Source organism: Homo sapiens, chromosome 18 (assembly GCF_000001405.40).
Source record: "Homo sapiens chromosome 18, GRCh38.p14 Primary Assembly".
NCBI lineage: Eukaryota > Metazoa > Chordata > Mammalia > Primates > Hominidae > Homo > Homo sapiens.
The window spans coordinates 74,138,267-74,160,655 of record NC_000018.10 but is presented as its reverse complement, the minus strand read 5'-3'; the positions used below and the strand labels follow the sequence as shown (position 1 = coordinate 74,160,655).

At 42.5% G+C, this 22,389-nt stretch overlaps 2 protein-coding genes across 12 annotated transcripts in view, besides 6 other annotated features; one reads left to right on the top strand and one right to left on the bottom strand.

Moving 5' to 3' along the window:
• Positions 1 to 124: 124 nt before the first annotated feature.
• Positions 125 to 12,133, bottom strand: TIMM21 (translocase of inner mitochondrial membrane 21). Of its 2 annotated transcripts, none has more exons than XM_005266689.5 (6): positions 11,547 to 12,133; positions 5,432 to 5,511; positions 5,253 to 5,350; positions 2,569 to 2,642; positions 2,380 to 2,485; positions 125 to 2,280 (listed from the first exon to the last, which is right to left on the bottom strand). In XM_005266689.5, exons 1-6 carry the CDS (start codon positions 11,681 to 11,683, stop codon positions 2,176 to 2,178), a joined length of 600 nt encoding a protein of 199 aa, XP_005266746.1. In that variant the 5' UTR covers positions 11,684 to 12,133; the 3' UTR covers positions 125 to 2,175. The 2 variants fall into 2 exon arrangements, with proteins under 2 accessions (XP_005266746.1, NP_054896.2); NM_014177.3 differs by having other exon boundaries at positions 5,449 to 5,511.
• Positions 4,554 to 5,753: an enhancer, noted in NCBI's record as "BRD4-independent group 4 enhancer chr18:71822138-71823337 (GRCh37/hg19 assembly coordinates)". NCBI's record gives its function as "activates an origin of replication core promoter dependent on BRD2, P300/CBP, MED14 and CDK7 cofactors, and independent of BRD4, by STARR-seq in HCT116 cells {active_cell/tissue: HCT116}" and the evidence as "EXISTENCE:reporter gene assay evidence [ECO:0000049][PMID:35650434]".
• Positions 8,940 to 10,139: an enhancer, noted in NCBI's record as "BRD4-independent group 4 enhancer chr18:71817752-71818951 (GRCh37/hg19 assembly coordinates)". NCBI's record gives its function as "activates an origin of replication core promoter dependent on BRD2, P300/CBP, MED14 and CDK7 cofactors, and independent of BRD4, by STARR-seq in HCT116 cells {active_cell/tissue: HCT116}" and the evidence as "EXISTENCE:reporter gene assay evidence [ECO:0000049][PMID:35650434]".
• Positions 11,883 to 11,972: an enhancer, noted in NCBI's record as "active region_13493". NCBI's record gives its function as "activates an Ori minimal core promoter by ATAC-STARR-seq in GM12878 lymphoblastoid cells {active_cell/tissue: GM12878}" and the evidence as "EXISTENCE:reporter gene assay evidence [ECO:0000049][PMID:35858748]".
• Positions 12,053 to 12,102: an enhancer, noted in NCBI's record as "active region_13492". NCBI's record gives its function as "activates an Ori minimal core promoter by ATAC-STARR-seq in GM12878 lymphoblastoid cells {active_cell/tissue: GM12878}" and the evidence as "EXISTENCE:reporter gene assay evidence [ECO:0000049][PMID:35858748]".
• Positions 12,133 to 12,252: an enhancer, noted in NCBI's record as "active region_13491". NCBI's record gives its function as "activates an Ori minimal core promoter by ATAC-STARR-seq in GM12878 lymphoblastoid cells {active_cell/tissue: GM12878}" and the evidence as "EXISTENCE:reporter gene assay evidence [ECO:0000049][PMID:35858748]".
• FBXO15 (F-box protein 15) overlaps positions 12,822 to 22,389 on the top strand; it is a 74,467-nt gene continuing 64,899 nt past the window's right edge. For 6 of the 10 annotated variants that reach the window (XM_011525856.2, NM_001142958.2, XM_011525860.1 and 3 more), the window contains exons 1-2: positions 12,822 to 12,986; positions 20,344 to 20,454. In XM_011525856.2, coding sequence (XP_011524158.1) covers positions 12,871 to 12,986; positions 20,344 to 20,454 — 227 coding nt within the window. In that variant the 5' untranslated portion in view covers positions 12,822 to 12,870. Of the gene's footprint in view, positions 20,455 to 22,389 lie in introns of all 10 variants that reach the window. The other 4 variants (NM_152676.3, XM_047437341.1, XM_047437342.1 and 1 more) reach the window with 4 other exon arrangements.
• Positions 12,943 to 13,092: a silencer, noted in NCBI's record as "silent region_9541". NCBI's record gives its function as "represses an Ori minimal core promoter by ATAC-STARR-seq in GM12878 lymphoblastoid cells {active_cell/tissue: GM12878}" and the evidence as "EXISTENCE:reporter gene assay evidence [ECO:0000049][PMID:35858748]".

The following is a 22,389-nucleotide window of genomic DNA, read 5'->3' as shown; positions in this document are numbered from 1 at the left end:
TGACCAGAGCATTTGCAAATTCACAAATATGACGGAAGGGGATACCAGGCAGAGTCAGATAAGTGCCCTAGAATTCAGAGAAAAAGTGGGAGTAAGCCCATGGACAGAGACACCACAATCAAAGTGGATTAAAGAGGGTCTTAAAACACAGAAATTTTAACATTTAGTAGGGTACATCAGAGGGAATGAAAACAGAGATCTAGAGAGTTACACATCACATTTTCCTGTGGCTATACAGAAGAATCTCTTATTGGTACAGAGTTTTTCCTTTTGAAAAAGTAATTTAGTTTTATTTCTAATTATAAAAGCTCAGATCTGTTTTTTGTTTTTTTTTTTTGAGACGAAGTCACACTCCGTCACTCATGCTGGAGTGCAGTGACATGATCTTGGCTCACTGCAACCTCTGCCTCCTGGGTTCAAGCGCTTCTCCTGTCTCCTGAGTAGATGAGATTACAGGAGTGTGTCAACGTGCCTGGTTAATTTTTTTTTTTTTGAATTTTTAGTAGATAGGGTTTCACCATGTTGGCCAGGCTGGTCTTGAACTCCTGACCTCCAGTGATTGACCTGCCTCAGCCTCCCAAAGTGCTGGGATTATAGGCATGAGCCACCTCGCCTGGCCAAAAGCTCAGATCTTAAAGGGGCATGAGCATATTGTAAAATGGCAGGTGCATAAAAATGAATACAGAAAAAGCAAACAGTCTTAAGTCAAATGACAGGGCCATGGAGGGTGGCTAAATCCCCACCTGAGCTCAGATGCCGGGCTTCTTCAGCAAGCTACAGTTTGAGCAGGTTGTTTGAAGAGCAGGGCTGCTTTTTTGAGTTTAGGATAGCAAGTGGAACTTCTCAGCCTGTTAAATGTTGACATTTCAGTGAATCCTGAAACTGAACATTCTATAGCAAAGGAAAAAACGATTAGGAGAGAAAGCCTAAGTTAAGGCCTCATTCAGTCAAAGTGTGTTACGTCAGGGAGACGAGTGTCTGTTATATTTTCTATACTCCTTAAATGTTGGAAATTTTTATAATTAAAAACATCTAAAACAAGCAGTCAAACCAAGAAACTAACTAAATTAAGCAGGGAGATAAAGTAAAAAGGGGAGATAGATTGCCTGGAGGTCTCTCTATCCTGAATATCCCAAAATTTCAAGAACACATCAGAAATTCCTCTACAGACAGTTCTCGGGGAGAAGGAACAAACACATCAGAGGGGATACCTCACACTGAAGCCACCGCAGATAAACATGGTTCTAGACCCCTCCCAATGCACATAGCACTTACATAGATATGGAATCAGGATCTTGTAAGTGAAGGTCACTTTTTTCCAAATCCCCAGCAAATATTTCAAATAAAATAGAATTTCCTTTTTTTTTTTTTTTTTCTTTAAGGGGCCTCACACACGTATTTGAATGTCTCTCATTCACTCCCATGTTCTTTTGGCAGTCAGAAGTATCAGTGCAAGTAAGTTCTAAAGGGGATGAGGGCACTTCATGGCTGCCTTCTATGGTCCAGGCTTGTACCTCTCATCACACTGCCATCCTAACAACCCACACAACAGGGACACTTGACCACGCACCTGCTAGAAAAGGTGGGGTGGGTGCCCAGGTCTACCCAACTTGGGAGTGTGTACTTTTCCCGCTATGTACTAGGCCCTTAATTCATGAAGCGCGAAATATGAGACAGATTCCTAAAACTCACACAATTTTGAAGAATGTATTTACCATCTGGTTCCCTATGGCCCTCAACCATTTTCACATGCTTATCTCAAGTCAGATTCCAAAGTATGCGGAGGGCAGCTGCTAATGACATATTTGTTAGTTTTAATTTTATTCTGCAGACATTATGCAGTTCTATAATATAAAATGAATACAATACTAAAATCTATTTCCTTTATTTACATGGTGTAACATTTCCAATAACAAACATTTCTAATCATGAAAGATGGTGTTAAAGCAGAAATATTGTCATGATTGAGTCAATGGGAGAACATAAAATATGCTGTATTTCATAATTTTTCCGTAAGAAAATGTCTAGTTTGTTTAAATGCAACAAATACTGTATTAGATTCACTTTATAAGCCATACACTCCTTCTTGTCTTTCTTTTGAACACATTCTGGAAGGCAGCTGTGAAGAACGGAGTAGCGAGTCCACGCCATTCAACATCCATCAGAAACCCTATTTTAATCATCTTGGGATCGATTATCTTCAATGATAATAGTTCTTCTAGGATAAGATTCAATTTCTACAAATATATATCGAAAATCATATTCACCACTTCCTGGGTTCTGAAAAAAATGTAGTGTTTCCAGGTATTATTTTCCTTTCCAGAACTTAAATAACACCGCGCTCAGAACCTCTGACCCCACATCCCATGATTCCCACACCTCTTTCACTTGCGCATACACCGTTCCTTGCTTCCCTGGCTCAGAGCCCTCAATGTAGAATTTCACACACGTGTGTTTCAGCCCATCTTTTACATATTCAGTGAACCTGTCGAGAAAACGAAAGATCAGTCTAAGTTCCTTTCATTTAAAAATCTCCCCAGAGCCTCCTCTGAATTCAAGCCACAGTACCTGACATGCTGCCGGCGACCCCGCCTTGTCACCTCCCCATAGCCTTTAACAGACTCACCAAAGACACCGATCACCTGCAGAACAAGGACAGTGCTTTATTTTGTGTTATTTTTTTAAGCTTCTAAAGAAATAATTTTTAACAAACCAGATGATTTTAGGAAAAAAAAATCAGTAAGCTTAGGACCTTTTCAAAAATGACCACTCCTGGCTCACGCCTATAATCCCAGCAATCTGGGAGGCCAAGATGGGTGGATCACAAGGTCAGGAGTTCAAGACTAGCCTGGCCAACTAGGTGAAACCCCGTCTCTACTAAAAAATATAAAAATCAGCTGGGCATGGTGATGCGCATCTGTAGTCCCAGCTACTCAGGAAGCTGAGGCAGGAGAATCGCTTGAACCCAGTAGGCAGAGGCTGCAGTGAGCCAAGATCGTGCCACTGAACTCCAGCCTGGGTGACAGAGCGAGACTCCGTCTCAAAACAAACAAACAAACAAACAAATAAAAAAATGACCACTCCAATAAGAAAACTGAAAAAAGGGTTATTATACAAAAATCATCCCATAAATAATTTAAACAAATATTTCATGCACAAAGATTAAAATAGGTAGCTTTATGGTGTGACTTGTAGTTTCAAAGCAATGTAGGTTGACATGACGCAGTTCCTGCTCCTCTTACAGAAAACAAACATAACAACACAGAGTTCAGATGTTTCTCTACTAACCCCTTATGGTTTGAAGATAAAATGTATGAACATTTTTAATGAAATGTAATTAATTAATAGCATCTAATACTAAAACTATGAGATCAAAAAATTTTTAAAGTTACCAAACACAGTGAGGAAAAAGAAAACAGATAATGACATTTAAAATAAATCAGAGCTACAGGTGTGAATCTACTATTTCTAATGAGAAAATCCACATGAAGTAGAAATGTAGTTTTTATTGAATTCAAAATGCAAATACTGTGGAACCCTCTAAAAAATATAAATTTGATATTAAACTAAAAAAGTTTGACCCTCAACTCTACGAAATTTATCTTATTTTGTCTGTTTGTGGAGTATCTTCAGTATCACATTTTCCAGGATAAAAAGAAGTAATATGTAAGATGATATTGCAGAATTGTATAGCACAAACAAATAGAACAATTTACTTTAATCTATTAAACATATAAATATCAACATCCATCAAGATTTTGTTTTTCAAGCAGACACAGTACCCAGCAAAGAGAAGGGTACCCCTTAAAAAATGTTGACAAAATTGTTAAAGTTTAATTATTATTTGTAGAGTTTTTTCAGGCAGCAAATGAAGTTACGACTTCAATAATATCCCACTTTTGTATATTCTTGTGGAGTTTTTTGTTCAAAATGCTGAAAAATCTACGAAAGGCTGAGTTTGCGAATAAAACAGCAACTCTTCATCTCTTTCCAGAGATGCGTCCTAACATTTAATGAGGTTACCACCCACAGGTATTTCCGGAGTCTGTAAAGAATGTTTCTTGTCAGATAAAATTTGGATTCCCAGTAACTATTATGGGAACGAACCTTCCTTATTTCCTGGTTTTCACCTCTGAGATACTTTATCCTCCCTGCCTTTCTCCATGGTTACCACTGGCTGTCCAGAGCTCAATGAAGAGAAATCAGTGGATTTAAAAGGAAAGATGCCAGAGATCGTTAGCTTCTGAGGTTTCCACCCTGACATGATTAGAAAACTGGTAGAACATTCAGAGCCGGGGCCCCAGGGAAGATCAGCACCGGGCTCTATACTGAGCACGCTGTGGATTGAAATCTTTCTCCTCTTCAGGGGCTGCAAATGCGAGCTATGACATTACTCCTTGGTCTGTGTGAAGAACAGCCCTAATATTTATGATGATAATGGCAGACGATTACCTGCTGTTATCTTTCAGGGTGAATGAAGTTGTATTTCAATGAGTAATATTTTCAGTGCTGAAGGTCTGCAGCAGGGAGTAAGAAATCTGACACTTCCCAGGCCACACCGGCTACGTGTGACTGGAAGGTCACATCTAAAGCCTTCCTTCTTGACAGGGTCCTTCAAAGAACCAAGGCAGCTTCCCCATGTCCACTCCTCCCAGGGAAGGGTAGAGGCAGACTGTGCTTAAGAGCTTAGATTTGGAAGCAAATTTTGGATTTGTGTGGATTCGGGTTCCGGTTCCCCCACTTACTAGCTCAGTGATCCTGGTGAAGTTACTTAATCTCTTTAAGTGTCAGTCTCCCCTTCTGCAAACTGAAGACAAAGTAGTGCCGAACACAAATGGTTTTTGTGAGACTGAATAAAGATGATGCACTGAGACCCTGGGCAGAGTGCTTGCACGGACACATTTTCGGTAAGTGTCAGCAATGACATTATGACCATGAGGTCATGCATCAGGCTTTAAAAAGACTAGAAACTTACCATGAGTTCAATATTTTGGTGTATTCTAAAAATTTAGTATCTATGAACAACCAGCAAAATGACTGTCTTGTACAATTAGCATGAAAACATCTGTACACTGACTTTTGGGTTCTCTTAAAGAGCAAAGACCTAATAATGTAATGATGACTCGACCATTATGTATTATTATGTGAATTTCACTAGCGTGAGAACTGGTTCTTGAATTCTGCCCACTTCCTCCTCCCAGACATTTTCTCCCCCTCATCAGAGTTCATGTAACTCAATCTTGAGAACTAACCTCAGGATGTGATCTGCATTTTTCTAAGGCTCTCCCATATATCTTGCTAGGACTGGATGAAGAAAAAAGTTCTTTGAAAATCGTGTAAAACAAGCCACCTGAAATCACAGAAAACAAAGATGAAGCGAAGCAAGGGCAACATAAAAAGTCCAGTTTAAAAAATATTCAAGGGCTTATACTTGCTGTTTTTTGCAACCTGTAATGCTGATTCCAAAAAGCACCACTATTAAATAGGTAAAATCTCTTCCGGCTTCTTTCACTGTGAAGAGAAAACACCAATGGGTTACGGGTGCCGGCTGGGAGCAGGCAAGCTTGTCTGCTGCTTTTGCACTTCTTGCGAGAGAAAAGCAGCCTCCAGATCAAAGCAAGGGGTCTGTGTGTGTTCAGGGGCAGCTGTTTTGAAAACTCCCTGTGTGTCAGCGCCTCAGCAGAATTCTCAGAGCAGGGCTTGGGAATCTATGTTTTAATTTAGGATGAAGAAATCCTTTTAACAAGTGATCCAGTCCACAACTGCTGTAGGTTAGGCAACACTCCCAGATTAGGAAGAGTGCTGGCTTTTGTCAACCAAATGGGTAAGGGACTGAATGGACCAAAATGGGTGTCAACTCTTAACAGTTAGTAACTAGCTCGAATGCCAGTCCCACCCCACACTGACTGGTGCATAAAAACAGAACTGTGTTCAGAGTAGGAATATGGTTGGCCAGAAAGATTTATGAATTAAACTTAGAAAATGAAGAAAATGCACAGACCAGACATTTGTTTTCCCACACTAATAAAATATGTGCATATGGGTTAAACAGACACTCTGAGAGCTAGAGAAACTCAATCAAGACAGTGTCAGGGGGCCAGGCGCGGTGGCTCATGCCTGTAATCCCAGCACTTTGGGAGGCCGAGGCAGGCGGATCACGAGGTCAGGAGATCGAGACCATCCTGGCTAACACGGTGAAACGCCGTCTCTACAAAAAATACAAAAAATTACCCGGGCGCAGTGGCGGGCGCCTGTAGTCCCAGCTACTCGAGAGGCTGAGGCAGGAGAATGGCGTGAACCCGGGAGGCGGAGCTTGCAGTGAGCCAAGATAGCGCCACTGCACTACGGCCTGGGCGAAAGAGCGAGACTCCGTCCAAAAAAAAAAAGACAGTGTCAGGGGACAGAATATATACATATGTATAGCTATAAATAAATGTATTTGTATTATACAGAAATACATATACAAGTACGCTTATTTGTCCCTATTACCCCAATCACCCTAGATTCCCGATTGTCCCTCCCAACATTTCATTCCTGCCTTGCTTAGCGTATCAGGTGAGTCTTTCTATTTTTTCACTTACCAACAGCTACTGTATATCTACCATGTGTATCTTCATATATATGCAAAGAGCTATAACATTACAGTTACACTACCTTAACATTACAATTACGACTATGCTTTTCACTGATGCTGAGAAAGTGAGTCACCTCCTGGCATTATGTTTATAGACTAATTTATTCACCACATTAGCCATTCAGACTTCTGAAATATAAATCTTTAAAAAATTTTTAAGAAAAAAACTTTTGGAAGAAAATTTTAATAGATGTTGCTGTTATTTTCTCTTCTGTATAAAAAGCTTCTATTATGTTTATAAACAACATTGTTTAAAAGAAGTATTTAGCTAATACAACGCTTGTTTAAAAGTAGTCTTTAGCGTATCACAATCCTTCAAGTTTTCAGCAAGGTTCCCAACTTAGAAGACATTATTCAAATAATAAAAAGACCTCATCTGCCAAAATCTGTGTAATTCATGGGACTGACTCAAACAATTGTCACAAATCCAATTTCCCTTCCAAGGTTCAGGAGTTGGGGCCTACAATGACGACATCTCATTCCACTCTCAGTGTCACAAAATACATTTCAATAAATATTACCTGCCAGTTATGTATCAACTCCCAGGTTGAGAATACAATAACAACTAACTAGTTCTAGTAAGTATCCTTATTTGTCCTTGTTACCCAAACCGGGTCATTGGCCCCAACACCCTGGACTTCTGACTGTCCCTTCCAACAATTCATTCCTACCTTGCTTAGGGTATCTGACAGGTCTTTTCCATTTATTTGATAAACAACAGCTCCTGTATATCTGTTATATATAAAGCCCTGTGCTAAATATTCTCCATATTCTACACACTTGAAAAATTTCTGTTTGTTACTTTATAGCTGTCTCCAATGGAAGCTGCTCACTGTCTAACTTTCTGAACCCTATCAGACCTAATACTTGTATGCAAAAAACCCTCATGCCATTTATTTGCTTCCACAATTCTCTACCCCTCCTATAGTGGGTGCTGTGGTATGGGGCTCCCAGCTGCAGGGAGCACTGGTAGCGGACAGTTGTCAGCTGAGCTCCTCTCTGGGCATTCCATCATAAGAGAGCTTCCTCACTTAGGTCACGGCACTTCCCTGGACCAGCCCATATTCAATGCCTGGTTGATGCAGAAGCATAAGACTCAGCCCCCATATTAGGTAGGACAGTGACTGGCCAGCTCAGCTCCAGAAGTCCCCAGAGCAGCAGCTGAGGCCCCAACTGCAAATGCACTTCGGCCTCTCCCTCTGCCCAGTCCTGCTTCCCTCATCCCTCAAGACGTATTCTGAGAGCACTCCCTGATAAACCTTACGCAAATCCCACTTCCCTGGGAAGCCAACCTACAACGGGTGCTACCAGGAGTGGTAAGCAGCTCTCAATTTGGATTTTGGAGCTGGCTTGCCGGCCACTGGCTGGCAATGAGGACCCTGTCCCTGGTGGTAGGGGGGTACTGACAGCACCTGTCATAGAGCTGTAGTGCAGCTGATGCAGCTCTCACCAATGGGGACCTGGGATGGAATGCTGGCGGAAGGGAATGTACTGGCTGATGTGTTATTCTGGGAGTTTAGGAGGAATCAGCAATTTTAAGGACTTATATCAGACGGCTGTGGCTGGGGCCATGGAGAGGGATGGTGAGATGAAGTGTGTAACTAATCACCAGTGAAGGTGAGTGCCAAGGGCAGGAGCCTCCTCCCCGGCAGAACAAGACTCAAATTGCACCCAGAGGATAGAAAATGCGTGGGTGAGGTCTGGGGCGGAAGGGATTCAGGGAGTTTGGCATTTCAAGCCCATGAGACCTCCCACACCAAGGTCAGGGTCCTGATTTGGGAGGAAAGGCAACCTAAAGCTGGGTAGGGGGCCCTTGAGGTCAATGTTGTAAAAAATCTTGAATCCCAATTCTCCTGACCCCTCTAGCCCTGAAGCAGCAGCTCAGTGTCTGGTAAAGGTTGGCACTTCCTCCACCTTGGAAACTGGGCGAGGGGTGGGTGGGGGTTTCTGCCTAGCAAGATACGTGCTGCTCTCAGGAGGGCTCTCCACCTCCCCTCCTGGCCAAGTTACAACACGACTGGGCATGAGAAGGGTGAGAAGAACAATACTCGGAAGGAGCTGGAGGTCCCCCCGGGGGGGGGGGGAACATAGACACCACTGCTTCTTAAGGGTGGTGTGTCAAGGGCACAGAACACAAAACCAGCTGAGAGTTGATCAGCATGGGGCACGCTCCTGTGATGAATTTAGCAACCAGGCAAGCACCCTGGGAACTGATATGCAGCTGGCTAGGTCTGCTCCTGGAAACTTCGAGACAGTGATGGTCCACATTAAGTAAAAGTGACAGAACAGCCATGGCAAACTGGACGAAAGGCTCAACAGCCTCCAAGAATGGGGATGCTACCATAGATATAAGATATAAAGCCCGAAAACCCACCAGCTGACTATGTTCTTAGGAGGGACAGGAGGACACTGTGTACCAAAGCCACAAGGAAGCCACAGTTACATCTTTATAGAGCAGGATGCCCTGACAGAAATGGAGATGAAAGAATTATGAAGCAGAGACCAGGCTGGGGTGTTAAACAGAAGCCAAGGTGGGTGCAACCATCATAACTAATGGCAAGGCTGGAGTGGCAGTCGGGAGTGTCTGACCTACAGAAAGCAACAGAGTTGATGACTAGAACACAGTGTTTCCAAAGGGAAGACACAAGGGCAGCGGACAAGGCTACTTCTGAATTACACAGTCATGAGAAATTAACTACAGATGATTCCTGAGGCTGAAGGCAGCTGCTCTAATGCAAAGTCCTGAACATTGCCCCAGTTTCTGGACCTGAACCAGTTTTCAGACCTGGAACGCATTTACTGAAGGAAAGCGTATGTAACTGACTCCCCCCGTCCTTCACCAAAAGGACCTACAGTTATCAACTTGGACATAGTCTGTGCTGACAGTGATACCCAAGGACCCAAAGAGTCATGATGACCCCCTGACCGCCCTCCATCACCGGATGTAAGAAGCTCACAGGTGGGTCCAGGGACTTACCTGGCAATAATTTCTGTGATTTCCAAATGTATAAATCAAGGGGATGTACTGAGTAACTGGCAACAATAACTCCCACTTTAGTTCCTTTGGAAGTGGGTTAAGAGCCATCGCAGTGGGAAAAGTCAAATGGAAGCCCCTGAAGCTGCCCTTTCGGTGACCAAGATAGGAAATTAAAAATGATATCACATCTATGGGGAATGGCAGAGTATTCTTAGAGACCTTAGATACAGGCATGGCGATCCCCATCACGGTCCCTTGTAATTTACCAGTCTTCCTTTACAAAACACAAATAGGTGCTGGAGAATGACAGTGGTTAACTGCAAACTCAACCAAGTGGCAGCCGGGGTACACATGTAATACCACAAATGGTAACTTTACAGGGGAATGCATTAACACAATCTCATGGTATTGGCCATTGCTTTGAAGAACGCCTTCTATTCAGAAGCAGCAGCAGTAGTCTGTAGTAACATGAAACAGATAATAACAGTGTATGTTTATGATCCTGCCCAGGATTTGCTAATTCTCTCACCCTCTATCATAACAGTCTTAAGGGACTGAAACCTTCTGGACCTGGGCTGTCTAATACAGTAGCCACTTGCCACTCATGGCTATTTCAGTTCAATTTTAAATTAATTAAAATTAAATCAATTCAGTTCTTCAGTCACAAGTTTTAGCAACATTTCAAGTGCTCAAAATAGCTACAAGTGGCCAGGAACTACCCAAATGGACAGCACAGATATAGGACATTTCTATGCAGAAAGTTTTATTTGAATAATGCTGTTCTGGACATTCAGGAGAATATCACATTTGTCTACTATATTTATGCCATCATGTTAGAGCCCATAAGTAACAAGTGGCAAGTGTGTTAGAAGGCTTGGTCAGAGAAGCTGCAAGTGTGAGAGGTGGGTCCAACAAAGATGCAGAGGCTCATCAACACATGAGCCGACCTCGTGGGGCTACACTGGGGCGTGCCAAGACATGCCCTCCCAAGTAAAAGACAATTGTACCCTATACCTCCTACCACAATGCTTCATAGGCCTGTTTGAATTCTGGACGCAGCATATTCCATATTTGGGAATGTTGCTCCCATCAATTCACTCAGCCACAAGGACTGTCACGTCTGAATGGGGTGCAGATGAGGGAAGGGGTCCCTAAGCAGGCCTGGTGTGCAGTGCAAGCATGAGCACTGTTGCCTGAGCCAGATGACCTGATGCACATGCTGTTTGCCACTTCTATGCCTTTCACCTCTGCATACAGGTTGTTCCTTCGTGCTGAACTAGTATGAATGAAAAGCTAGGTTTTTGGCATAGTCAGCAGACTCTAAAACAATTGGTATGATCCAATTTTTTGGGTTAAAAATTATTAAAAGGTATGTGTATGAAAGTGCAAAATGTTAAAAATAGTCATCTTCGTGTGGTATAATCATGGCGGTCTAAATTGCTTTGTCTTTTTTTTTCCTACAAATCACATGCGAAATGAAGACATTAAAAAAAAATCTTAAAATATCTGTGAATACATCTCTGACTTTCCCTGACAACTTACATTCCATCCTCCCTATTTTATGTTTTTCTATTACTGCAGGTAACATGTGAAAGTTTTCCCTACCAGTTATGAGTCAATAATCTCTCTCTCTCTCTTTTTATCCTATCCAATTACTCTTTATTATATGTAACAGAGCCAATATAACTTGAGAAAAATTTCCCAAACATAATGAAAAAAAGTTATATCAAATTCAAGATCAACTTTCACATCTGAGTTCCAATCTGTGAAGAAAACTGTAGATCTATATGTTCTAGTTCTAAATTATGTTTAAACGGTTTTTAAAAATTCATGTGAATTGCTTTTTCACCTTTAGCAGTGAACTTGGTATAAAAGGGCATTGGCAGCTCTTGTCATGTCTGTTGAAAGCCCAATCATTAAAGTACTCCTTTTTACCTTTTTGTGATGTTGGGACGGCGGTTCCCCCTCTCTGACTCCTGTGCACAGACACTTGTTTGCTGCCATCCTCCTTTGCTTTTCGGGGGCTCGGTCCCTGCGTCCAGATGGTTTTCTGGGTGACTCCAAGAATACATCTAGGTCGCAGCGTTTTCTTTTGATATTGAAGCCCACATCTCAAACTGGGCTCAGTCTTCAAGCACGCTTTGTTAAGCACGATGTATGGCAAAAGCAATCGCTTTGCCGAGGACCTGTGCAGCTTCTCCGTATACTGTACGGCTCGTAGAAAAGTACAAATCATGTTCACGGAAAATCGTTCCGCTTAGGGACGATGCTAACTACAATTAGGAAAGCTTTAGGGTTCACTACACATGCGGCCGGACACGTACTCAAGCCTATACGTTTACATTACATGGGGTGTTAGGCAAAAACGTCAGTTTCCGCAGCGTAAATGAAAACGAAAAGTCTCCAGGGAGAACCTGATGTCTACCTTCCCTTCTGTCTTCTTTCCATTTTAATTAACAGGCTCTGATCACCTTCTGGGCTGACATTCACAGTGTCCCCGCCATGCCTTCGCAAAGTCACCTGGGAAACCCCCGTCTTCCTGGGAATAGTAGTTTGAAAACCTCGCTCTTAACTGGGATACGGCAAAGAGGCGCGCAAAAGAGACTACATCTCCCACAATTCAAGGCGGCCAGAGCACGGCGCAGGTCCTTCCCGCGCCCCCAGACGCCTCCGCGCCCAGCGTCGGCGCAGACGCTGCGCGTCCCTGGAGCGGCGGAAAGTGGGGTGTTGGTGGGGGAATTGGTACCACCCACCCTACGTGGTTCAGGCGGGACTTGCAAAAGCCAAATTAGCAGTTACAATCTACGTGTTTTCCTGATCCTTATAGAGAGGACTGTGCACAGTGGGAAATACCCCCTTGGACTGTGGTCTTGCCAATTCCGCGTGGGCAAATGATTTAGTTTTTGCGTTTTACTGTGTTTTCAGAAAAACTGGACAATAAAGAGTCAGCAAGTGGGGATGAACGAGGCCGCTGCAAAGCAGGCACCGGTTTCCTAAATGGTTAAGCCGCGAACTTGGCTTGGCGCCCTAGGCGGCAGAATGTTAGGGGTGGGTAAGGAAGCCGAGGCCCGGAAGTTTCTAGAAGCCCGCTCTGTGAGCGGGTGTCTGGCGCGGTGCCGTCTGCGCAAGGGTGGGCATACCGTTACTTTTGCTCACGCGCGCATGCGCATAAGGGGTGTGGCGACGTGCGGGCGTGGGGGCGGTGCGTGCACTCTTCGTTTCAGCCCTGGCGCGGTCCTGTGGTGAACTCCTTGTCTCTATGGCGACTGGACGCGGTCGGATCTTGCAGCAGCACTGGCTCGGCCTCCAGACGCTGCGCGGGCCCAGCAGGGGCGGTGGCGCGGCCCGGGGGCGCGCCAGGGCCTTTGGGTGCAGGTGACTGTAGGGCCTGCGGGTGGGGTCCCCTGGCGGGAAGCCCGTCACTGCGCGGCCCCGCTCTCTTCACCGTGTATTTTATTCGTCCAGCTTGGCGCAAGGCCCGTGGCCGTCTTCAACGTGAGAAGGGTATGGAAGAACGACCGGAGGAAATCCTTTCTACCCTGCAACGTGGGGTACCCTAAGTTATGACACAAATAGAGTAGCCTCTCGGGGAAATATTTTTTCTTGCGGCGCCTGTGGCCGGGGATGCGCGCACCTGCCAGGACAGGTGCAGGTCCAAGAGGTCGTTTCTCCGGGATGCGTGCCCTAAATTCACGTGTGCTCCGCCCCTGCCTTCGTATTTTCGCTCTTCTGTAACCAAGAATCTCCCTTCGTGTTTTTCATGACCTTACAACTTAGGGAAGTAGAGTCTGTTCATCAAAACCTTATCAGTTGACACCCTCATCCCCCAAGCAGATACCTCGGGCAGGCAGGTTGGTCTGGCGGGTGGGGGGCAGCACTTTCTGCACCTCCAACGTCAAGGCTAAGTTGCCATCTACATTGCCAGGTCTTGCTCATCTGCTTTCCAGAAGCATCTTCAGCGTGAAGAAGTAAAATGAGCCAGTGCATCAGAAGTATCAGCATGCATAATGGTACCTTATGAAATCCCTCTCATTATATCGTGAGCTGTTCCCTAGCTGTGTACCCATCACTGCAGTTAGTTTACAGATGGAGGGATAATGCCAAGAATGGTTTACATTCTTGAGGATTATCTTTCTGCTTGTAAGACTCCTTGATTTATAAATAGGGAAAGTCATGCATATTTTGCCTTCTAATAAACCAATGGTCTATGTTTAAGCACACAAAGGGAGTCTATTACATACTAGTTGAACTACTTGTTTTTTCCCCCTGAATCTCCAGAACTATGTCCTGTGTCCTCTCTAGGTCTCCATTACTTCCACTTACCTGTTTTCAGAAGCCCAGCCCTGTTGCTTAGTGCTGTGATAATAGTTCTTAATTGAATACCTATAATGCTAGACATACCACAAGCCTTGTCACAAATAGAATGGTGACAATGCCTGCAAAAATTCTTTTATGTAGGAGAAAAAGCAGGAATTTAAATAGGAAACTTGAACTTTTAATCAATTTGCTGCTATTACTAAAATTAGTCTTTACATAGTGCTCTATTAGGGGGAAGCAGAATGATTTTTATATGATGAATCTTTTATCCTTTGTAAGTTGAGTGAACTTCCTGGATTGATATAATTAGAGGGCCTGTCATTATGCCTGGCATGGGAACCTGCATTTCAAGCTGATTTGGAAATGTATGCATTATTTTTGGTAAAGAAAAGTCCGCTGCTAAAAATAGAATGATTGACTATGGTCAAAGCAGGTGGTTATTTTAATATATCGCTGTGGAAAATTAGATGTTGTTAAGGAATCAGTGTTCCCTTTTAACACAAAATGTGAATATGTATAAATATCACAAACTGTAAGAAGTGTAGCAGAAAGCGTATTAAGTTGGCTTAATTTGTACCTGCTGTAATTTATTTGATTTGCCAGATATTTAAAATGAAGCACAGTCATTAGGTTTTTAAAATATTGGACTTATTGAAAGCTATCAGACAAAAACCTGTCACTTGAAAAAAAGTGTTTTCAAACTAAATTTATCTTGCTAAATGTATCAGTGTATGTCTACACTTAACCTTGTAGACGTATAGATTCGCATAAAAACATAAATAGAACTTGCTGATTTGTTAATTATGTGGACCTTAAAAATGTGCAATTGGGGCCGGGTGCAGTGGCTCACGCCTGTGATCCCAGCACTTTGGGAGGCGGAGGCGGGCAGATCTGGAGGTGAGGAGATCGAGACCATCCTGGCTAACACTGTGAAACCCCGTCTCTACTAAAAATACAAAAAAATTAGCCCGGCATGGTGGCGGGCGCCTGTAGGCTCAGGTACTCAGGAGGCTGAGGCAGGAGAATGGCGTGAACCCAGGAGGCGGAGCTTGCAGTGAGCCGAGATAGCGCCACTGCACTCCAGCCTGGGCGACAGAGCCAGACTCTGTCGCAAAAAAAAAAAAAAAAAAAAAGTGCAGTTGGTTTATTTTATGGATAAATAGAAATGTGTTTCCAATAGTGTTAAAAGGTACACTGATAAGATGTATGGTCTCATGTAAGACATGGTACAGAGAGCTCTGACAGGACATTAAGGAGATGGGCGTCTCAGAGACTGTCTTTGCTTCTAGCTTGGGACCTTAAGTTTCTTTAGTTGCCTTGTTAGAGCCTTAGCCTTGTAAACTGAAATGAGGGACTCTATGAGATCCATTTTAATTGTGAAAAAACAAAACAGCAAGAAATAAGCTTTGACGTTTTAAAAGTGTGAAAACATGTTTGTAATAAAATAGCCTTCATATTCCAATTAAATAAAGGATGAAATGTCTTAAAGCACTTACACATTACCTTGTGCAGAGTATATGATTAAGAAGTATTTGTAGAATTGAACTAACTAAGCCCTGTTAAATGTTTTAGCCAAAGATAGAGGCATATCCATTCGTTACTGAATTAGGGTTTCAGATTAGGGAAAAGCATTTGGTACTTAAAAAAAATAACTAGTACCAAACAGGATTTATTTGCTTAATCGTTATTTAAAACTATCTTTGAGTGGGGAGAGTTACAGCATGACTTTGAGGAACTTACTAAGATCATTTTATTTACATATATTTTATATGCATATATGTTTACAAAACAGGTGACTTTATTTCACTGGTGTTTTCACAGTAATCTTTCATAAATTCGGGACACACAAGTTAAGGTTTTCAGTAAGAACTTGGTGGTGGATTAAGCCAGTATGTATTCTTGAAACATCTAAGCACCCTGGCGCTGTGCTTCTCAAACGAGTAGTTGTAGTGGGTGGGGAACACATAGAGCATCTTCTTTGTCTGCAAAATCAACACAAAGGCTTTGGGGAAAATGTTAAATAATTTAACTGGTAAATAATATAATACATTTTTATGATAGGACAAAGACAGATTATTTAGTAGAATGCAGTATTTGCTTTAATTTTTAAGATCAATTGGGAGACTCCTAAGAAATTTTGAGTTTGCTGCAGACTGTACCCCCAGATTTCGGGGGACCTGGTTTCAGTTTCTTTGCAAGAGTTCTGTTGCTAGGAATGCCTTTGAGAACCACTGCTCCAGTCTCAAGGATTGTGCTGTCAAACTGTGATTCCCTGGCCTTCTTTTGCATGTGACTCTTAGGTTTGAAATTAAAACAACACCCCCACCCCCCAACTTATTACAGATTCAATATGCTAAGAAAAATTAGAACATACATGGAGTTATGCCCCCTAAATCGTCCCCATTTAAAAAGACCTTCACCAACAGATTTTGTAATCCTATGAATCAGATCTGTTAACTGTTAAACCTTGGTGTCTCTAGATCTCTTTTCTTTGTATGCATATATTTACTTTTCCTCTTAGAGAAATAGAAAAATAAGTTTATGTATTAGGTTGGTGCAAAAGTAATTGTGGTTTTTGTTACTGAAAGTAATGGCAAAAGCCGCAATTACTTTAGCACCAACCTAGTAGTATATACTGATATAACCTGCTTTCTCAGTTATACTGTTAGTGATTCAGCGATATTTATTGAATGCTGCTCGCATGCCAGGCATATTGTGGGTGCTGAACGATCAGCAGTGAACAAACCCATGCAGTATAACTGCCCATGTCATTCCAGCGATAGTAAGCAAGACAGGCAGGTTAAATGTATAGTGTTGGATGGTGATGTGTGCTAAGGAGAGAAACAGAGAAAGGACACAAAGTGCATGTGTGTGTGGCAGAGGGGACTGGATTGCAGTTTAAATATAACAGCCAAGGAAGGTCTCAGTGAGATGGTGACATTGTAGTAAATGGCTGAAGAAAGTGAGGGAGCAAGCCATATAGACACCTGGAGGCCATCAGGGACCTGTTTCTAATTCAAACACTTAACCTGGGTTGAAAAATCTATATTTTAATTGACTAGACATTGTTAACTCTATGGAGACCATGCAATTTAACCAATCTCTATACCGTTTTTAGTATTTTTTTCCCCCAGTGCAGACAACTCTGAGATGGACATTCTTGAGTGAACTATCTGTGCACATTTCTAGAAGTGGAATTCCTGGCTTAAAAGAGCATATGTGCTTTTTAAGGATCCTGGATTCCAATATCAGATTTGGCTTTCCATAACGTTTGTACCACTGTATCTTGTCTTACGGGCAGTAAATGAGGATGCCTGTTTCTTTGTAACATAGCCAGCATGAATCATCATCATTTATTTGGTATTTGCCAATTGCTAGATTAAAATTGATCCATCAGATGAATTTACTTTTCTTTGGTTCTCTTGGAAAGGCCTAAGGTAACAGTTTTTATTTTTCTGGCTTCTTATTGAGGAAATAAACAATGACAAAAAGCTGTTACTGATTCAGTAAGGTATTTATTTAATATCTTAAATAAAATTATATTTGATGAACTACAATAATATTTATGTTTAAAGTATATATAGAATTATTCATATGATGCTTAGGGTATGTGTGGACTCCGATTCTAGGTACAGCCAACCCCCACACTCCCATAGGCTTAAGGGTTACAGGTTTGGAGCTCCTGATAGGAATTGTTATTGTTTGATGAAGGAATGATAGAAATTCCCTTTATTTGAAGCTTAAGTGTTAGAATCCTTTATCAATTGTAGATATTTTATCTTTGAATATGTAATATAAGTCAATACAGACTTTACAACAATAATAACCATTTAAAAATAAGTCATGCTTTTAAATAATTTTAGAATGTATTACAAATTTGTTTACTGTGTTGACTATTGACAGTAAACAAAGTGTATTATACCTTCTAAAGTTATTTATGTCCTTCTGGAACACCAGGATGTGACTTTCTTTAGATATAGGGTCTCTGCAGGTATAATTAGTTAAGATGAGGTCATACTGGATGAGGGAGGGTCCTAAGTGCAATATGAATGATATCCTTATAAGAAGAGGCACAGAGACAGATATGCCTAGAGGGAAGATTGCTCTGTGAAGATGGGGGCAGAGATTAGAGTTATGCTGACACAAACTAAGGGACACCAAGGATTTCTGGCAACCACCAGAAAAAGGAATGATCCTCTCTAGAGCCTTCAGAGGGAGCACGGCCCTGTTGACAACTTGGGTTTTGGACATCTGGCTACTGAGACATAATACATTTCTGTTGTTCTGAGTCACCCAGTTTGTGAAGGTAGTCTTAGGAGACGAATGCAATTAGGAAATGATATTTTACTTATGATTACTATGTTAGGACCATGTTAATGGAGCCTAAGCTTTTCTCCTGTGGAAATCTGTGTTTAAACAAAATTTCTAACAGAAGTACAAAAATATATAACAGGTAGAATTATCTGATTAAAGGAGGAGAGGGTATTGCAAAAATGTCCCAATTAGCATTTCTTCCTGTCCTTTCTCCCTGTCTTCCTGCCCTGCAGAGCACAGATTGAAAACCATTGGCTAGAAAGTCATATAAGACCAAAAGTATATTAAGCACCTTTTACTGAAGCTGGGATGGAAAGGCATGTGGAGCCAGCATTTTTTTTTCCTCGGTGCATTTTTACTCTTACAGGATCTGGAAAAGTTTACCTTATGCAACTTCTTTGTTGAGATGCCAGTGGAGCAGCTGATCACTAATATTTGTGGAGGGCCTACCCTGTACCAGCTACTGTGCTTTTTTCTAGAGAGAAAAATTCACAAAGGGAAGAGGAATTTACTCTGTAGCTGCTTGGAAGCATGTGGAGACTTGTGCCTGGGAAGCAGGGCAGCCAGGTGCCAGTGGGTGATTTGAGTGCGTGCTGCATATCATGATGCTGTCTTGCGGTAGGCTCCAGGCTACACTGTCACCTGGCCAGCTGATGCCTAGGGCAAGGGCTCCTTTTTCACCACTTGTGTCATCTAATAGGTTGTGCTCAGAGTTGAGGGCCATCCTCTGTTAAGACCAGTTGTGTGTGGATTTCATACTTCAGCTTTCAGGGGGGTTGGTTCATTACTTTTTCTTCCAAGTTCTTAAGGCATCTCTTTTTTTGCTCCCAATTGTTGCCCTCCTTTATGAATGTTGTTTCAACTATATCTGGGGAATTGGCCTGGTGTGAAAAACTGAGGGTGGTTAAACTGTCAGTGCACAAAGTACACATTCAAAGCAATGATGTTGGTGAACTGAGCGTATACATAATGTACTCTCTAGGATTTAGCCACTTCTTAAATAGCACATCAGGAAGGAGGTGCGCCAATATCCAATACCTGTGTGTTGTATGTTGCTTAAAGCAGAAGCTTCCAAACCTTTCCTAGAGAAATAGTGTAACCATTCATGGCTCTCCGGGTGTGCTGCTGCCTAGACATGGAGGCTGTGAGCTGTATGATTTTCTGGTGTTTCAGATTCCCTCAAGGTGCTGCTGAGTACTACTGGTTTTGAGGACTGATCTTAATAAAATTTACTTTAGGAACCTCTGAAAAAGACTCACTGCATAAAAATATTATATGCTATTTCATTGAATCTAAAAAACCATTCATTCTAAGATGCACTACTGTTTTCTGTACCACTAAAATAAAAAGATGGCCAGTGAAAATATATTGCATTGAATGGGAGAGGTTAAAATGTAAAAGTTTGTGGATGAGTATTTGGTAGTTTGTCTATGACTGCAAAAGCTAGAGTTGGAACCCTCAAAGATCAGAAAAGTTGTAGATTGTGTTTTATGTTGACAGTTCTAGTTTACTAATAGTAAGTTTTTTAAAAAAAACTTTAATGGTTTCTGTTTTATCCAAATTGGCTAATCAGTACACTAACTGTATCCTTTTTGTTTCCATTAAATGTATTTGGTAACACCTCTTTGACATGTTGAAAGCCTACAGTGAGAGTGTATATTTCTAAACCTTTGGGTGAAAGCACATCAGAGTAAGTACGGTCTTGAGGTTTCCTTACCAGGACACTAAAGGTTTCACTGCCTCTTCCTCCCTTCTCCCTGCCTTTCTTCCTTCCTTACCATCAAGGTCTCACTGTCTCTTCCTCCCTTCTCCCTGCCTTTCTTCCTTCCTTACCATCAAGGTCTCACTGTCTCTTCCTCCCTTCTCCCTGCCTTTCTTCCTTGCTTACCATCAAGGTTTCACTGTCTCTTCCTCCCTTCTCCCTGCCTTTCTTCCTTCCTTCCATCTTTTCTTCTTCCCTTCCTTTTTTTCTTTGCAGAAATTAAGTTTTTCAGTGAGTAATCTTTGGAGTTTATGAATCCTTTGGAATTTTGTAGAAGGGAATAGATAATTCACCTCATTTGGTAATTACATAATTTGAATTTCCCACATTTACTTTCAGAAAGGGGCCAGGGGTCAAGCTTTCTGCAGGCTCTGCTGCCCTGAGGTGCCATGCCGGAGGTGGACAGCACTGGGAGAGCTCTTTCTCCTGCTGTTCTGGGTTCCTGGATGGGTAAGTAGCAGAAGTAGACTGTCACTTTTGGGGGCCTCTAGGCATGGGGTTATTAGAGAAAGTTATGATGCTGTATATACCAAGTTGCTATTTTGAGCTTGCTAAGAATAGGATTGTGTAGGAAGACAGTACAGCATGGAGCATTTGATGAGTCATGGGCCTGTCACCACTATCCTTATGAGATGAACTTTATGAAACGAAACTTCAAGAAGTGACAAGTAAATTGAATTTTCCTTTTATTAAAACGTTCTTCAAAAATATTCACTTTTGAGTTGATAAAGACCCTTGAAAAAGGAGAAAGAAAGAAGATTAAAGTGTGTTTTCCTGAAAGCTCAAGAGCTCTGTTCATTTCTCAGCTTTCAATATCTGGGAGCCCATTTGCCATGGCAAGATTCTGTGCTGTGACCCTCAGCACCAAGATCCACAGAAGCTTTAAAAAATTATTATGTTTAATTGATGCTCAGAAGTCCATAGATTTGTACTGTAGTAACATTTATGGAACACCGATTATATGCTAAGCCTCATGGGGAGCCTGAAAGCTTGAGATGATCACAGAGAGACATTTTACACTGCAGGAAGCTAGGCCCACGTAGTCTGCATATTGCAGAACTGTGTGATTCAGATATAAGTTGCCTGATTTCAAGTTCTGGGCTTTTAATACTGTATCACAGCTTGCTCAGCTAACAGTGTACATATCTGTATACACATTTCAGTGTATTTTAAAAAAAGCCAGAAAGGATATTTCATTAAGGACATTAATTTCAGCTTAAAACCCTATGCTCTGGGAATAGGCTGTTTTACAGGCATCTGATATGAGAAATGGAGCAAATATTCCTTTGGTTAGTCCATCCATTAAATATTTGAGGACCTACTCTGTAGCAGATACTGTTCTTGGTGCTGGGACAGAAATGGTGAGCCACTCACATGTTCTCATGAAGCTGATGATTAGTCGGGGAGGCAGATTTAAAATACAGTAAGCTGGGATACCTGTTGTTGAGAAAACAAATGGATCCCCCAGTCCAGAATAATGGGGTGGCGTGGTGAGGAAAGACTTACTTCAGGAGGCGCATTTAAGATGAGAACTGAACACTGAGACTCAGGAGCTTCGAGAGGAGCTTGCCAGCGAGGGGAGACCAGAGGTGTGGTGGTGGGGGCTCCAGATGCTGCAGGAACAGTGTGGGGGTCGGGGAGCCCATCAGGTGGGGCTACCAGGCTCTGGGGAGGAGTGTGGATGCCATGTAGTTTCCCAAATTATCTTGTTTATTTGTTTACCTCTCTTCTCTAGAAGTAGGGAAGACGGAGAGACACAGGCAAGTGGGAGATATAGTTGGGGGCATGGCTGACATGATTCATTTATGAATTAATGTAGGTGTGAGGGGGAAACAGGCAAGTAGGAATCCAGAGCTGTTGGCTGAAGCAGTAGCACAGGTTGAGGTGCTGTTGACTGAGATGGAAGAGAGGTGGGGTCAGGGCGGAAGAGAGGGCCATGATAATGACTTTGGACTGGTTACAGCTGAGATGCCTGGGATAGGTGCAAAGGAGGATGCCAGATGGATGATGGATGTGTCAGTCTGGCTCAGGATGAGGCCTGGTGGGGTCAGCAGTCATGGAGCTGGGTGAGGTGGCTTAGGGAAAGGGTGGGGAAGGGAAGGCAAAGGCGACTCAGGAGCAAGCTTGGAGGACCTGCGGCAGTGAGAACCAACCAAGCAGGCAGGGAAGAGCCCTGAGGTCCAAGACATTGAGGAGAGGCTGTGTGTGAAGCAGAAGAGGAGAGAGCCTGCAACACAAGAGCAGTCGGTGACCTGCGGCCTGGGGAGGCGGGGGGAGGAGGCAGCAGGGCATGGTGGCCCCTCACAGCTGTTGCAGGTGAATGCAAGGGAAGGGGCTGGCCGCTCATTTTCCTACTTGCGTGTGTTCTATTCCACACTGGAATGT

Coding starts and splice junctions, on each gene's coding strand:
- TIMM21 (NM_014177.3), bottom strand. CDS start 11,847: ATGATTTGTACTTTTCTACGAGCCGTACAGTATACGGAGAAGCTGCAC. Junction 2,486..2,568: donor GGTCGCCGGCAGCATGTCAG/GTACTGTGGCTT, acceptor TTTTCTCGACAG/GTTCACTGAATATGTAAAAG. Junction 2,281..2,379: donor TGTATGCGCAAGTGAAAGAG/GTGTGGGAATCA, acceptor CATTTTTTTCAG/AACCCAGGAAGTGGTGAATA.